An 18,354-nucleotide genomic window follows, 5' to 3' on the forward strand; every position below is an offset into this window, starting at 1 on the left:
TACAAATAAATTTTCTGTAGCAAGAGTATGAATTAGGTGTCATCACAAATACCATTTTTTTTGTGTGGAATGTAACAATTATTTAAATGTATATAATTTAGATAATATTTTATAAATAAAATATGTATATATTGCATATATAATAGAATAAATGTACTTAAATATGAATACTGTACGTAGTTGTAGCCAACATTTTATCAAATAAATATATATTCACTTCTATGTATCTTAAATATATATGCACTTTTTTCCATAAAGAAGGTAAATTTTAATTTTTTATTGAAATACTAATTAGTTTTAATTTTGTGTTTTTCTCTTAATAACTTCATAATTTGATTACTAAATATTCATATTTATACCACCAATTCAAGAAAAAATATGTATGTTTATATAGGTAGAGGTGTAAATACTGTATCAGGAAGTGTTTATGCATTAATTACGGTAACTGGTTAAATGTACAACTCAGTGGCTGATAACAGTAAACATTTGTTTTCATGTTCATAGATGCTCATGTTCACAATCATCTGGCTGATCAAGGAAGGTCTCTGCTGAGTGGCTCCTCTCAGCAGAGAGGAGCCTGTAGATTGTATTCAGCCTGTAGATATCAGTTGTTTAACGACAAGGCTGAACAGCAGTGACTACACATGACACAAGATTCTTGTGGCAGGTCACAGTAGTGATCAACATCCCAAACCAAACCGCACAGTTGAATTTAAGTCCAATAATTTCTAACATAGCTTCAAACATTTAAAATATATTCCTTTATTTCAATGAGTATAAGTTTTTAAGAAAATGTTTACTCCACTTAATTGTAGAGGTGTTTGATCATTCCATAGACAAATAATCATGTTTTCAACCTTCACAATCCTGAAAATATTTGCAAATGTAAGTTTGCATTAATAAGAAAACAAAGCTGGATGTGTTTTCAACATGTGGCTTCAAATATAATTTTTTTAAATGACCTTTTTGGGGGAAAATCATTTTAACTTATGGAAATATCCCTCTTTACCTCTCATGTCCTATAGGGTTGCCCAATAAGAGGGTCCCCCATGAGATTTGGAAGTGAGAAAAGGAAGACTCAGTATTATCCATTGGTACCTAAGAGGCAGAGAGACAAAGGTGAGGACTGGAGAAACACCTGGAAAGATGCTCTAGGAAGCGAGAACTTCAGCAATTCCAGACTTAAACTTCCAGACAGGACTGAGGACCACATGGGTAGAAAACCCTTACTTCAGGGGTGGATACATTCTGTTTTCAGTGGGAGCACCAAAGAATGCTGCTTCTAATATCAACTTTCCTGAATACTATATCCTTGGTTTTGAAAGGTTGTAGTGTGAATGTTAATCATAGGAATTGGGTCATTCTTGTCATACCAAACAGAGCCATGAAACCAGAGGGGAAAGGCACTCAGGGTGAAAAATATTGTTTCTAGAATGCAATTGAAATAGGCCCTATTATGCCATGGAACTAATGTTTATGGTTTTTTGAATAAACATAGAAATTGACTTCCCCGATCTTAAAACTCAAGATAGTTACATCTGTCTTACCTGAGTTCTTTTTTCAGTAAACCAACCATCAGGCCTCCCAGATACTATCAAGGAGCTGAAACTTACATATCACTGAATCAGGACAGTGGGACATCAGACCCTTCACTCATTATGACTGCATAACTGACCTCCTGCTTCTTGTTGACCAAATTATCTCCCTTAACCCTCCATAATTCCTGTTTTCCCACATTTCTTCCGTGCTATATAAACCCCTAATTTTTGTTGGTCAGGGAGATACATTTGAGAATGGTGTCCCATCTCCTCAGCTACAGCACCTGATTAAAGCCTTTTCCTTGGCAATACTTGCCTTAGTGATTGGCTTTCTGTGTGGTGAGCTGCAGGATCTACGCTGAATCCCTGGTATTTCAGTAACAAAACACTCTGCAACCTTCACTGCTTTGGCTTCTTGTAACCTGAAATCAAATTTGTCCACAACTTCTGAGATAACTTGATATAATTCTAGGATTCACTTTGTCCACCACTGCTTCCCAGTCTGAGCTTGCCAGCTCCCAACCCTTCCTAGTGCCAATGAACTTTCTCAAAGAGCCATAGGTAATATTTTCCCTTTTTCATGAAACACTAACTTTTTCTTTGTTCTTGCCACATATTGAAGACCACTGAGTTTTCCTGTATGCCCCATTTGGGAAATATTTCTGTGTAAATAAAACATTACATTTAGAGATTCATCTCTACATTTTATTTAGACGTCAGTAGTTTACTTTAATTCTCTGTATTAAGACAATTCCTGCCTAGAATATCTATAGTGGCTTCTTCTCTGTTATATAAAGTCCAACTGAAGCCATAAACTAGACTCCTCAGGTGTCATGATCTCTGTCTGTATTAAATTAGGAGAGGCATTGCTATGTCTGTGTAGTTGGGGCTGAGAAAGAGAAAAGAATTAGGGTGCAGAGGTGACTTCATGTCCCCTTCTACCAACACCATCAGAGTGTGGCTGCATCTGAGGAACAATCTCAGCTGATGGAGGCATCAGGAGGAGCAGCTGGGGCAGCCCAGCCTCACACATCTGCTTCCCTGGGGGTTTATGTTCGGGTGTGTAACACTGTGGGAGGGTAACTATTATGCTGTAGACAGTAATAAGTTGCAAAATCTTCAGGCTGCAGGCTGCTGATTGTGAGAGTGAATTCTGTCCCAGATCCACTGCCGCTGAACCTTGATGGGACCCCACTTTGCAAACTGGATGCAGCATAGATCAGGCGCTTAGGGGCTTTCCCTGGTTTCTGCTGATACCAGCCTAAATCATTTCTAATGCCCTGACTTGCCCGGCAAGTGATGGTGACTCTGTCTCCTACAGATGCAGACAGGGAGGATGGAGACTGGGTCATCTGGATGTCACACCTGGCACCTGAGATTGGAAACATAAAAACAAATGTCCACACAATTAATCATGTTGTAAGAGAATTTCCCTGAACAGTAAAGCAGTACTGAGCACTCTGGGCTGAGTAAACTGCTAGTGTTCTCCATCCTTACCTGGGAACCAGAGCAGCAGGAGCCCCAGGAGCTGAGCGGGGACCCTCATGTCCATGCTGTGTCCTGAGTGGGACTGATTCCTGCATGAAGTGTGTCCAGCCTATTAATAAGGCTTCAGGGCAGGAGGCTGTGCTCTGGGAACATGCAAATGAGCAGGGGATGGGGCAGGCTGGGCGCAGCTGCAGGGCTGGCTCATCTCAGTAACTCAGCAGCAGCTCAGTGTCCCCAGGTGTCCCAGGTAAGATCAGGGTAGCACAGATTTGTCTGCAGAGAATGGGTTTCTACTGGAGACTATTTTGTTACGAGAGACATTTTTTAGATTTTTTTTGACAATTTGAAATATTCCTCAGGAGTCGGTGGAGTATCATATTTCATTGGCGTATGGGGAGTATATAGGAGGATATTCTTTTTTTGTAGGAAACACATAGTAAAGTTTTAGACGATAGAATTCTAAGGTCTTTAAAAGACTATTGTATAATTCCGGTTAGGGAAGGGGGTATTTATTGTATACTTGCAACTTTTCTGTAAGTTTATCATTGTTGCTTTCTAAAAAAAATTAAAAATAAAATATATTGACATGATGATGCATATATTTGTAAGTATATGCAGCTAGAGAGAAAAAACAGATCACCTACAAAGGGAAGCCATCAGACTAACAGAAGACCTCTCAGCAGAAGAGATTGGGGGCCTATATTTAACATTCTTAAAGAAAATAAATTCCAACTAAGAATTTCATATTTGGACAAACTAAGCTTCGGAAGCAAAGGAGAAATAAGATCCTTTTCAGACAAGCAAATGCTCAGGAAATTTGTTACCACCAGACCTGCCTAACACAAGCTTCTGGAAGAAGCACTAAATATGGAAATGAAACACCGTTATCAGCCACTATAAAAACACACTGAAGTACACAGACCAGTGACATTATAAAGCAACCACACAAACAAGTTGGCAAAATAACAGGCTAACAGCATGATGGTGGTATCAAATCTAACATATCAATATTAACCTTGAATGTCAACAGGCTAAACGCCCCACTTAAAAGACACAGGGTGGCAAGCTGGATAAAGAAGCAAGACCAAATGTTATGCTGCCTTAAGGAGACCCATCTCACATGCAATGAAGCCCATGGACTCATATAAAGGGATGGAGAAAAATCTACCAAGCAAATGGAAAACAGAAAAAAACCAGGATTTTAATTCTAATTCAGATGAAACAGACTTTAAGTCAACAAAAATCAAAAAGACAAAGAAGGGCATTACATAACAGTAAAGGGTTCAATTCACCAAGAAGATCTAGTTACTCTAAATCTATATGCTGCCAGCTCAAGATCACCTAGATTCATAAAGAAAGTTCTTAGACACTTTGAAGGAGACTTAGATTCCCACACAATAATAGTGGGAGATTTCAACACCCCACTGACAGTATTATACAGATTATAATCTGTATAATTAATTTTCTGAGGCAGAAAATTAACAAAGGTATTCAGGACTTGGACTCAACCCTGGATCAAATGGACCTTATATAAATCTGCAGAACTCTTCACCCCAAAACAACAGAATATACATATTCTCATCACCACATGGCACATATGCTAAAATTGACCACACAATCGGACATACATCAATATTCAGCAAGTGCAAAAGAACCAAAATCATGCCAACCTCTCTCGGACCACAGCAAAATGAATGTAGAATTCAAGACTAAGAAAATCACTCAAAACCATGGAAATTAAACAACATGCTCCTGAATGACTTGGGTAAATAATGAAGTTAAGGCAGAAATCAAAACGTTCTTTGAAATGAATGAGAACAAAGATACAATATACCAGAATCTCTGGGACACAGGTTAGGCAGTGTTAAGAGGGAAATTTATAGCACTAAATGCCCACATCAGAAAGTTATACCTCAGATTAACAGCCTAATATCACAACTAAAAGAACTAGAGAAGCAAGGGAAAACCAATTCCAAATCTAGCAGAAAACAAGAAATAACCAAAATCAGAGTTGAACTGAAGTAGATAAGACACACAAAAAAATTCAAAAGATCAATGAAGCCAGTGCCTGTTTTTATTTTGAAAAAGCTAATGAGATAAATAGACCACTAGCTAGACTAATAAAGAAGAAAAGGGTGAGTATCCAAATACATAAAATTAGAAGTGACAAAAGGACATTATCACTGACCCCACAGAAATACAACTAACCATCAGAGACTACTATGAACACCTCTATGCACAATAACTAGAAAATCTAGAAGAAATAGATAAATTCCTGGATGCATACACCCTCCCAAGACTGAACCAGAAAGAAATTGAGTCCCTGAAGTGAGCAAAAATGAGCTTGTAATTGAATCAGTAATAAATAGCCTACCAACCAAAAAAATCCCAGGTCCAAATGGATTCACAACTGAATTCTATCAGATGTACAAAGAAGAGCTGTTACCATTCCTACTAAAGGTATTCCAAAAAAGTGAAGAGGAAAGGCTGGGTTTGGTCACTCATGCCTGTAATTCCAGCACTTTGGGAGTCCGAGGTGGGTGAATCACCTGAGGTCCGGAGTTCGAGACCAGCCTGGCCAACATGGTAAAACCCCGTCTGTACTAAAAACAGAAAAATTAGGCTGGCATGGTGGCATGCGCCTGTAATCTCAGCTACATGGGAGGCTAGGGCTGGAGAATTGCTTGAACCCGGGAGGTGGGGCTTGCAGTGAGCCGAGATCACATCACTGCACTCCAGCCTGGGCAACAGAGTAAGACTGTGTCTCAAAAAAAAAAAAAAAAAAAAAAAAAAAAAAAATATATATATATATATATATATATATATATATATATATATATATATATATAAAATCAAGGAGGAGGGACTCCTCCCTAACTCATTCTATGAGGCCAGCATCATACCAAAACCTGGCAGAGATGCAACAACAACTTCAAGCCAATATGGTTGATGAATATCGATGCAAAAATCCTCAGCAAAATACTAGCAAATCAAATCCAGCAACATATCAAAGAGCTAATCTACCATGATCAAGAGACTTTATCCACAGGATATAAGTTTGGTTCAACATATGCAAATAAATAAATATAATTCATCACACAAACAGAACTAAACACAGAAATGGCTTGATCATCTCAATAGATGCGGAAAAGACATTTGATAAAATTTAACATCCTTTATGTTAAAAACTCTCAACAAACTAGATATTGAAGGAACATACCTCAAAATAATAAGAGACATTTAGGACGAAGCCATAGCCAGCATCACACTGAGTGGGCAAAAGTTAGAAGCTTTCCCCTTGAAAACTGTAACAAGACAATGATGCCCTCTCTCCACCAATCCTAACAGCATGGTGTTAGAAGTACTGACCAGAGCAATCAGGCAAAAGAAGGAAATAAAAGGCACCCAAACAGGAAGAGAGGAAGTCAAACTATCCTTGCTGCATATGACATGATTTCCTTTTTTTTTTTGAGACAGAATCTTGCTCTGTCACCCAGGCTGGAGTGTCGCAGTATAATCTCTGCTCACTGCAACCTCCACCTCATGGAGTCAAATGATCCTCCATCCTCAGCCTCCTGAGTAGCTGGGATTACAGGTATGCACCACCATGCTCAGCTAACTTCTGTAGTTTTACTAGAGATGGAGTTTCACCACGTTGACCAGGCTGGCCTCAAACTCCTGATCTCAAGTGATCCACCCACCTTGGCCTCCCAAGGTGCTGGGATTACAGGCACTAGCCACTGCGCCTGGCCTCACATGAATATATCTCTAGAGAACCCCATAGTCTCAGCCCAAAAGCTACTTAAGCTGACAAACAACTTCAGCCAAGTTCCAGGATACAAACTCAATGTACAAAAATTACTAATATTTCTGTGCTCCAAGAAGAGCCAAGCTGAGAGCCAAATCAATAATGCAATAACATTCAAAATTGCCACAAAGAGAAAGAAAATACCTAGGAATGCAGCTAGCCCAAGAGGTGAAAGATCTCTATAAAGAGGACTATAAAACATTGCTCAAAGAAATCAGAAATGACACAATTAAATGGAAAAACATTCCATGTTCATAGACAGGAAGAATGAATTTCGTTATAATGACCATATTGCCAAAAGCAATTTATATATTCAATGCTATTATCATTAAAGTACCATTGTGATTATCTACAAACTAGAAAAAAACTGTTTTAAAATTTATATGGAACCAAAAAAGAGCCCAAATAGTCAAAGCAATTGTAAACAAAAAGCACAAAGCTGGAGGCATTACACTGCCTGACTTCAGACTATACTACAAGGCTACAGTAACCAAAACAGCATGGTACTGGTACAAAAACAGATACATAGATCAATGGAACAGAATAGAGAACCTGCAAATAAGACTGCATACCTACAACTATCTGATCTTTGACAAATTTGACAAAAGCAAGCAATGGAGAAAGGATTCCCTATTCAAGAAATTGTGCTGGGATAACTGGGTAGCCATATGCAGAAGATTGAAACTGGACCCCTTCCTTACACCATATACAAAAATTAACTAACGATGGATTACAGACTTAAATGTAAAACCCAAAAACTCTAAAAATCCTGGAAGACAACCTAGGCAATACCATTCAGGACATAGACATGGGCAAATATTTCATCACAAAGACACCAAAAGCTATTGCAACAAAAGCAAAGATTGACAAAAGGGGTTTAATTAAACTAAAGAGCTTCTGCACAGCCAAAGATACTATCAGCAGAATAAACAGACAACCTATAGAAAGGGAGAAAATGTTTGCAAACTCTGCATCTGACAACAGTTTAATATCCAGCATCTATAAAGAACTTAAACAAATTTACAAGAAAAAAATAGCCCCATTAAAAAGTGGGCAGAGGACATGAACAGATACTTTTCAAAAGACTTACAAGTGGCCAACACTTATATGGAAAAAAGTTCAATATCACTGATTGTTAGAGAAATGCAAATCAAAACCACAACGAGATATCATCTCACACCAGTTAGAACTGGTATTACCAAAATGTCAAAAAATAAATGCTGGAGAGGATGTGGAGAAAAACGAATGCTTATATACTCTTGGTGGGAGTATAAATTAGTTCAACCATTGTGGAAGACAGTGTGGCAATTCCTCAAAGAGCTAAAGACAGAACTACCATTAGACCCAGCAATCTCATTACCGTGTATGTACCCAAAGGAATATAAATTGTTCTATTATGAAGACATATGCACGTGAATGTTCATTTCAGCACTATTCGCAGTAGCAGACATGGAGTCAACCTAAACGTCCATCAGTGACAGACTGGATAAAGTAATGTGATTATATATAGGTCAGTTTTGCCTTTAATTTGTTGCTCATTATTGTGAGCCTTAACATACTTCTTTGTGAACTTGCCACTGTTTCAATATAATATTGTAATCTTTATTTCAGAGTTTATTGCAAACATTTATGGTTAAGTATTTGATATATTTTATAGAGTTTACTTCCTTGTTGCTTATTGAAATTTGATTTTATAATTGTATTAAACCAATTTAAATATATTTAAATTCAAACATAGAAATAAAAAATTGAAGTGTTGATATGTCTAACAAAAAGCCAATGCACAAATTACCTTAAAAGATTAATTAAATGTCTGAATCACTAATTTAATAATATTTTCATGTTTAAAATGTGTCAAATATATTTTTGAGTCCTAGATATGTGAAGGTTTTGTGCAATGTACTGTAATATCTGCTAAGACACACTATTCTTTTCTTATCAGGTGAATTCATATTTGAACTGCAAGTTAATTTCTTGAACTGCAAGAAAAGAGGCACCTAGGAACATATTTGAAAATGCGTAATTTTAAAGCAGCTAAAATTATTTATTAATTAATAATTATTTTCTGAGTTTACATATTAGACAAAAAATGCTACTGAGAAGATATCACTGGTTTTTGCTCTGTAACAGAATTAGTTATATCTCGAATATGTTGCCACTCACCTTTCCTAGGCACATAGGAGAAATCAACAAATCATTGTCTTTTTTTACTGAAAGAGGAGGAGCACCAAAATCTGTCTTGACCACAGCTCTAGAAGGTACCTTATTAAACACTGTATCATCCTTGCCCTATTAAGTAAGTGCTTGCTAAATTGCATTCTTTTTGTGCTTTGAATTTTCAATAAATACATTCTGAGAAAATAATACACCGATTGGAATGCTTGACTATTCAAAATTTCAGGTATATACTCCATTATTTTATTGGTCTTTCTCTTATGATCCAGGCAGCACAGGATCAGGTCTTCTCTAGAACTCACTGTTGTATTTTTATGCCAAGAGCTTCAGTAGACAATCAGCAAATGGGCTTGCAGTCGGCAAAAATAGTTACATAGAGCTGATGATTTCTCATAGAGACGAGGGTGTTAATAGGAAAATATTTCTTTACTTATTTTTTCTTGGTGAATCAATAATAAACAGAGAACTTATTTTCGGAAATAAATTCAGAAAGTCAAGTATCTAAATCTGGTAGGGATGCCCATAGAATTTTTATAAGGAACATATATAATTTTATTTCTAAAAGTCCATTTAATGTTATTAGCTAGTACACGATTCAAAGGACAATTTAAAAATCAGGTAAATGTAGTAAAGGCAAATACATATTTTTGAATGAATAAATAAATTTAGAAAAGTCAATAAATATAAAAACCATGTGCAAAAAGATCATACCAGCAACAAACAAATTGGAGATGGAATTGTGAAATATGTGATCCGCCCACCTCCCAAAGTGCTGGGATTACAGACTTTAGCCACTGCGCCCGGCATTTTTTTTTTTTTTTTTTTTTTTAAGACAGTCTCTATCGCCCAGGCTGGAGTGCAATGGCACAATCGCAGCTCACTGCAACCTCCGTCTCTCGGGTTCAAGCTCTTCTCGTGCCTCAGCCTCCTGAGTAGCTGGGATTACAGGTGTACACCACCACGACTGGCTAATTTTTGTATTTTTAGTAGAGGCAGGATTTCACCATGTTGGCCAGGTGGGTCTTAAACTCCTGGCCTCATGTCATTCGCCTGCCTCATCTCAAAGTATGGGGATTATTGGTGCGAGCCACTGCGGCGGGCCTAAGATGTGAAGTCTTGATACTGTACAAAACATTATTAAAATGTTAAAGAAGACCTCTAGATTGTGGTTTTGGTTTACTATCCAAACAATTACACCATCTACAAATAATAACTATTCGTTTTCTTTATTTCCAGTACTCATGTATTTTATTTCTTTTTCTTGCCCTTTATACTAGTAAGAGGTCCAGTACAGTATTATCTAGGAATGATGATACTTTACATCTTTTAAAAATATCTAATTCCAAAATGAAGAAAAACAATTTTTCAGCATTTATTGTGATTGTGTGTGTGTGTGTGTGTGTGTGTGTGTGTGTCTGTCTGTCTCTCTGTCTGCCTGTGTATTCTCTAAGAGGTAAGGAAGGTATTTTTCCATTTCTAATTTTCTAGGACATTTTTACATAAACAGGGTCTAAATTTTGTCCAGTGCTTCTTTCTATACCAATTGAGACGACCATATACCTTTTTTCTTCTTTAACTATGTCAAATGTGGTAATTATACTGATCAAATCTTTTAAATCCTTATTATGTTATTTTCTGCTTTTCTATCACCTCTTGAGCATAAAGTCTCCCACCATAACATGGAGTTGACTTTTTCTTAATTTAATCAATTTTTTATTTATATATTTTTAAGTTATGTTTTGGGTCTATATAGATTTAGTATTTTAATGATTTCCTAATAGATTGACCCACTTATCATTATGAAATGTCCCCTTTTCTCCTTCGCCTTAAAGTATAAGTCAGGTTTCGTCAATTCAGTTTTTGCATGATATGTACTTTTCGTTTTTTAATTTTCAAAGTCATTTTATGATATTATTGCAGTGTGTATTTTATAAGCAGCATAAACCTTTCATTTTAATCTTGTTTAATAATTTAAAAATTTTACTTAGATAAATTTGTCTGTTTATGATGTCTAAATTATTGGTAGTTAGAGATAAATCTACCATCCTTTTTTTTTCAAATTTCCTGCTTTCTTGCTTTCCTTTGGATTAGACATTTTGTTATATTTTTCCTTACATTAACTTGTTAAACATGCAATCATTTATTATACAGCAGCTATCCTCAACTTATTACTTCCTAGTACCAAATATTAATTTACCATTTCCTAAAATAGAGTTAGATTTTTAAATTCCATTTACACTACTTTTTCGTGTTATTTTTCATGCAATTCAGTTATATATGCATTGCAAAATTCACAAACCATGACATCTATAGTCGTGTGCAAATTTTAGTTTGTATTTATTCCTATACATATCCTTTCCAGTGTCTATCTCTTATGTATCTTTATGTTTCTATTTAGTCTTGCATTCCTTCTGTTGCAGAACTGTCTTTAGCATTTCTTTTATAGAGTACTACTGATATATAGCTGCCTAATATTTTGTTGTTTTACAAACAGTATTTATTTGCACATTCATTTTGCCTCATTTTTTTCTTTCCTTTTCAAAGGCCCCAAAGATGTTAAATTACTTACTGATATTTATTTTCCTTGGAAGGATTGAGTTCCTTTTGAGTTGTTTTTCTTACATATAAATATTGCCATACAACTTCATACTCAGCAAAGATAATACATAGATATATTAAGTATACTTGCCATTGGATATATTTTCTTGGAAAAGGCAGCCATCTGCCAGATAGCTTATGTCCTTAATCAAAAGCAGGATCATTTTGATTTAATTCAAACCATCTACTTCTACTATAGCATGATGAAATAATACATATGCCCTTTTATGGATCAAAATAATATTAAAGTATTATTGTAAATGTAGTATATTTAAAGCATATGTGTATGTAATTTCAGCATACATTACTGGAATATTGAATTCAGTGTTCCATGTTTGGTATTCAGTATCAAATATTTTAAACACTGACATGATCATTATCATTTCTGCAGTTGTTTTTCTCCTTCATTTCCATGTGCCATGTGCATTTATTGATCTAGATGTGAATGTTTTGCAATATAATATTCAAACTGACATCCCTACTTTGTAATTTAATAGAACAATTTATTTTCAGTAGTGAAGTAGTAAGGAATAGGCCTTAGAAGATGGACACAAGAATTGCAATAAATTCAGGAGAGCAAAAATGAACTTAAAAAATCATGTTTGTTATAACATCAGAGAGTTGTGGAACAAATAAAGAACAGATAGCCTAAAATTCCACAGAGGAAAGATGCCTTTGTATATTGCCTTGTGTCCTCCTGTCACTTTGTGTCTTAGTGAAATTTGCCAAATACGAGCGTGATTGGAGATTCTGGTTTGGTCCAGGCAGAAGATCTCTACAAGAGTGGGGAATTCATCTCACCTTTGGCAGAGGCATGTACGTGCCTTACAGATTATGGATTATATGGCATGAGTGGAGCCCTTAACACCAGGCTGAATTTCTCTTTGGGACATTTGTTGAGGCCTGGGTTGAGAATGGTAGCTGGGTGGGTTGGCTAGAGACACACAGTGAAACCTCCTGCATTCTCCTGAGTTCTCCCCTACCATGCTGCCTTGATTTTCCTTTATGTGTGTCTGAAATATGGGCTTTGGGCTCCCACCACTACACCTCCTACTCATCTTCCCAGCCCCTGCACTGCTCTGGTCAGCATCATCTTTATTTTAACTATAAGCTTTCTTGAATGATCCTTTCTTTCTCTAATCATTCCCAGGTAAATGATGGGGGCAGAATCTACTTTTCCAAGGTCTTCTACATCCTGCTGGATTGACTAGGAATGTGTGATATGACCTGAGGTACATTTGGACAGGGACTCTCTTTGAGTCACTAAAGACTGTGTGATGCAATACTTCCCTGGGAGTTTGCCATTGCATCAGAGCACAGTCTTGAACTCCACGCAGGATCCCCACAACTCCCCAAGAAATACAGCAGAGCTTCCACTTGGGTTCATATATCAACTCCAACACACCACCACTAACACAGTTAACAGCTGCCCTCACATTCTCATTTACTGCCCTCTGCCCAAAGTCTATAGATTATTATTTTTCAAGGGGCAAAATATAAGCTTATATATTATTTTATATTAATCCAGATTCCATTGAATATGGCATACATTTTTGACTATGGCATACATTTTTAGTCGTTTTTTCTTTTGTCTTTTGAAACTTGGATATTTATTTTTAAAACACAGCTTTGGATTTCATAGAATTTTCTTTTCATTTCAACATACTGTGAATAAGATTGTTCAAAGATTTTTGTCACTAGGTCTTTGTTTTTGCATAAACTTACCAAAATATATCTAGCAGTTACAAAGTCTAGAATGTAAATACACGCAAGCACTCCCTGAAAAAAAAATAGGATAAAATGCTGTGCTTCCTGCTGTCCCAGAGAGAGATATATGTTAAGAAAAGTGTAAAGTGGAAGGTAGAAGATGGGAGAGAAACTGTTTTAGTATCACCAAATCTTGTCAAGGTACATGTACACTAGTAACTGCTAAACCAAATCAAAACCAAGAACGTATTAGTTTTGTATTGCCACTAATCTGTTTCATTTAGGTGGCTGTCAGGCTGAATGAATTTAGTTAGTGAATGAACGTAGGCAAGGCAGAGAGGATTACGATGAGCTTTGATTCAGCTTTCCCTTGCAACATGACTGGTTGTTCAGAGGGCACTTGACCTCCCTCCATTCTCCTGCAAGTTCTGCCAGGCCAAGACTCTTGCAACTGATGGGGACTAAATTGTGGTACCTGAGATGTAACGGAGATATTGATGGTCAAGAGCCCTCAGCTGTAATGTATTCTCCTGAATTCTCCATCATCTTCCTCTTTACTCTCCCAAGATAATAGACAGTGTCTGCTTTCCAGATAAACAACACATTTGGGCAGCTGAACCACAGCAAGAAGGGAGGTTTCTGTTCAGGGTTGTACCACTGTGTTAGGAAACTGTGTAGCTTGCATGCAGTAATAAACCCCAACATCCTCAGCCTCCACCCAGCTGATTTTCAGTGTGAAATCACTACCTGACCCACTGCCACTAAACCTGTCTGGGACCCCAGAAAGATGATTGGAAACCCTATAAATCAGGAGCTGTGGAGACTGCCCTGGCTTCTGCAGGTACCAATGCAAATAGGTATATCCATTACTATGCAGGAGGCTCTGACTAGACCTGCAAGAGATGGAGGCCGGCTCTCCAGGGTTGACGGGCAGGGAGGGTGGAGTCTGGGTCATCACAATATCTCCACTGGATCCTGAAATAGTGAGAGAAGTGCAAAGTTATGTACAAATATTGGGAACCATTGAAATGATATTCTTTCTGTTATCTACTTTATGCTAAGTGATTTTTTTGTGTGACTTTGGTTCATACCCCTAAACATCCAGGCATAAAAAGAACCAACATTCACAAGGCACAAAAGAGACTCAAGAAGTCGCCTACACTATTATCCTCTTCCTGTGTGACACTCTTCATGAGAGCACAAGTCCTTTGTCCTTCTAGGATATGAAGTTTAGAACTATAAGAGTGAGGAATCTTCTCTTTCTGACTCTTGCAGTTCTAAACTTTATACACCTTTTCTTGCAGGTCAAGATGTGCATGTGGACAGGCAGTGGGACCCCCAGAGCTCACCCTCACACTCCATTCTCCTCCCTTATCTCCCTTCTGTCCTTACCAGGAACCCAAAGCATTAGCAGCCCCAGGAGCTGAGCAGGGACCCTTATTGTGAGAAGGTGAGCTGAGGAGTTCTGATCAGTCAAGGCAAGGTTACAGCTGAGCTTTTATCTCAGACTCACAATGGAAGGTCCTCCCTAGGGGACAGTATGCAAATCCCCTGGTGGGTGCAGTGGGGTGGAAAGAGCCAAGGAGAGTATGGGGACATCTAGTGTGAGCACAGTGACATAATGTGTCCTCTGTGTTTAGAGGGAACCTAATAAAGTTTGTGCTGCCTGAGTGGAAAAAGGGACATATTTAATCATGTTCTTCTATTTCCTCTAAGAGATTTCTACATTGTTTTCACTTTCCCAGACACATTTTACACTTGTCTTTAATAGGCTGAGTTTCCATAAATATTTGGTTATTCTTATTTAATTTTATTATATATATACACACACATACATATATATACACATATGTATATATGTATAAATATATATATTTTTGATATATATAAATATATATAAATATATATATTATTTTGTGTATAAATATATATATATATATTTTGAGACAGAGTTTCACTTACTCTGTCACCCAGACTGGAGTACAGTGTCAGGATCTCGGCTCACTGCAACCTCCGCCTCCAAGGTTAAAGCGATTTTCCTGCCTCAGCCTCCCGAGCTAGCTGGGATTACTGGCGTGCACCACCATGCCTGGTTAATTTTTGTATTTTTAGTAGAGATGGGGTTTCATATGTTGGCCAGGCCGGTCTCGAACTCTTGACTTCAAGTGATCCTCCTGCCTCCACCTCCCAAAGTGCTGGGATTACAGGCATGTGCCACCACACCTGGCCAGTTATTCTTATTTATTATTTTCATATTTATTTTAGCATCTAGGTTTTTAAATTAGTTTCATTTTAGTTGACAAAATCCCCAGAGTAAAGGGCACAAATATTAAGAGTGTAACTGAATGAAGTTTGTGTATATTAACTGTCAAGGTGGAACTATGGAATATAGATTTTTGTTTTTCTTTTTTTTTTTGAGATGGAGTCTTGCTCTGTTGCCCAGGCTGGAGTACAGTGGCCCGTGATCCTGGCTCACTGCAAGCTCTGCCTCCCGGGTTCAGGCCATTCTCCTGCCTCAGCCTCCCAAGGAGCTGGGGACCACAGGCGCCCGCCACCATGCCCGGCTAATCTTTTGCATTTTTAGTAGAGACAGTAGAGACCAATATCATATTCCCTCAGTAATGCTCTGAGCTCTACTCCCTACTAGCATGTTCTTGTGAACTCAGGAACTGCTCTCCTAGACCCCGGCTTTCTGGAGAGCAGGTGAGGGGGAGGCACCAGGGAAAGGCCAGGTCATTGAGCTGTTGGGTGTATGTTCCTGCTGTGCACCATCAATGCCACTTTCCTCTTTTACGCTTAAGCAATGAATGGGGACATCATCCTGACCCAGATTCCAGCTTCTCTGTTGGGATTGGTAGGAGGGAGAGTCTTCATCTCCTGGCAAGCCACTGCTTACGTATATGGAAAAGTATTTTAGATTCTAATAAAATTGGACAAAGATTTGAAATCCGATTTTTTACATATCTAACTTGGCCCTGATTGTCTCAGCCTGGTTCAGCAACAGAAGGAGTGGAATAAATTGCATCAGCATCAGTAGACTGGAGCCTGAGGACTCCAGGGAACATTCGCACGCAAGACTAGGGGAGGCCAAGTCACAGCAGTCTAGCCTGTGCACCGTCCTCCTGTGGCCTTTCATGAGCCTGATTTTTTAGAGAAACTTGCTTACATCCAGCTTGCCAGGATCAAATTCTAGAGAGACGCAGATTTAAATGTAAGTTCGCATCTTTTTTTTTTCCTGCGTGGATGTGCTGGAATGATGGAGGAAGGAGTTATGGAGCCAGGAATATGACGGTATCTTGAAGATTAAAATCAAGAAATCCGATGTTCTCCCCTGGAGCCTCCGGAAGAAATACAGCCCTAGTGACTCCTTAATTTTAGCTCAGTAAGACTTCTCAATCCAGAATTGTAGATAATAAATTTGATAGGATTTATTGTAGATAATAAATCATACTGAATGCGGTATAATTGTGGTAATTAGTTGCCCTAGCAATAGGAAACTGTTACAGGCATAAGGCATGTCTTTTATCTTTCTAAAAGTGTGATTGTCCTTCTTCTTCTAAACATTTCCATTGTGTTATCATTTGGTGTCAATTTTGATCAGAGGCAGAGAACATTTTACTGCGAGGACAGCTAGCACCAGAATTCTTAGGTGGAAAATCTCTTGTGAGAATCCCTTTATTAGGTCTCATATGATCTGCATGTCTGAGATCCTAGGGGTCAGCTCTCACAGCACAATGTGGGGGAGCATGTGTGGTTGTTTGTTTCTTATTATATTAGTAGGACTCGTTAGATTTTCAGGACAGGATCTGAGAGGAAAGGAACTAAAAACAAAGACCATATGGTCATCTCAACTGATGCAGAAAAGGCGTTCAATAAAATTCATCATCCCTTGATTTTAAAAGCCCTGAACAAACTAGACATTGAAGGAAGATACCTCACAATTATAAGACCTATATATGACAAACCCACAGCCAACATCATACTGAATGGTGAAAAGCTGGAAGAACTTCCTCTAAGAACCAGAACAAGACAAGGATGCTTATTACTCTCACCACTCCTATTCAACATAGGGCTAGAAGTCCTAGCCAGAGGAGGAGAGGAAGTCAGTCTATCTCTCTTTGCATCTGATATAATTTATACCTAGAAAACCCTGTCTTCACTGCCCAAATGTTCCTGGATCTAATAAACCACTTCAGCAAAGTTTCAAGATACAAAATCAATGTAAAAAACCAGTAGCATTTCTATATACCAACAATGTCTATGCTGAGAGCCAAATCAAGAATGCAATCCCATTCACAATAGCCACAGAAAATAAAGTACTTAGGAATACAGTTAACCAGGGTGCTGAAAGATATCTACAACTAGAATTATAATAAACTGCTGAAAGAAATCAGAGATGACAAAAACAAATGGAAAAATATTTCATGCTCATGGATGGAAAGAATCAATATTCTTAAAATGATCACATAGCCCAAAGCAATTTACAGATTCAATGCTATTTATATCAAACTATCAACAAAATTTTTCACAGAAGTAGAAAAACTATTCTAAAATTCATATGGAACCACAAAAGAGCCCGAATAGACAAAGCCGTCCTAAGCAAATATGAACAAAACCAGAGGCATTGCACTACCCGACTTCAAACTATATACTACAAGGCTACGGTAACCAAAATTGCATGGTTCTGGTACAAAAATAGGCACATAAATCAATGTAACAGGTTAGAGAACCCAGACTTAAAGCTGTACATTATAACCATCTGATCTTGACAATGTTGACAAAAGGTAGCAATAGAGAAAAGGCTCCCTATTTGATAAATGGTGCTAGCATAACTGGCCAGCCATATATAGAAGATTGAAACTGGACCCCTTCCTTTCACCATATACAAAAATCTACTCAACATGGATTAAAGACTTAAATGTAAAACCTAAAACTTCAAAAACTCTAGAAGAAAATCTAAGAAATACCATTCTAGACAAAGGCCGTAGTAAAAATTTCATGACAAAAACTCCAAAAGCAACTGCAACAAAAACAAAAATT

The 18,354-nt window shown here is 37.5% G+C and overlaps 1 pseudogene, 1 gene segment (V, D, J or C) and 1 further gene, besides 4 other annotated features; 1 reads left to right on the forward strand and 2 right to left on the reverse strand.

The window, feature by feature from the left end:
* Positions 1-18,354, forward strand: part of IGK (immunoglobulin kappa locus) — a 1,378,008-nt gene that overhangs the window by 257,367 nt on the left and 1,102,287 nt on the right.
* IGKV1-17 (immunoglobulin kappa variable 1-17) lies at positions 2,615-3,090 on the reverse strand. The segment is given in 2 exon segments: positions 2,615-2,910; positions 3,036-3,090. Coding segments are annotated over 2 exon segments (351 nt in total), but the record flags the coding sequence as incomplete, so codon positions are not given.
* Positions 2,900-2,910: a sequence feature (IGKV1-17 leader sequence).
* Positions 3,036-3,090: a sequence feature (IGKV1-17 leader sequence).
* On the reverse strand, positions 13,979-14,755 carry IGKV2-18 (immunoglobulin kappa variable 2-18 (pseudogene); annotated as a pseudogene). The gene is given in 2 exon segments: positions 13,979-14,289; positions 14,707-14,755. Coding segments are annotated over 2 exon segments (360 nt in total).
* Positions 14,279-14,289: a sequence feature (IGKV2-18 leader sequence).
* Positions 14,707-14,755: a sequence feature (IGKV2-18 leader sequence).

Source organism: Homo sapiens, chromosome 2, assembly GCF_000001405.40.
Source record: "Homo sapiens chromosome 2, GRCh38.p14 Primary Assembly".
NCBI classification, from domain to species: domain Eukaryota; kingdom Metazoa; phylum Chordata; class Mammalia; order Primates; family Hominidae; genus Homo; species Homo sapiens.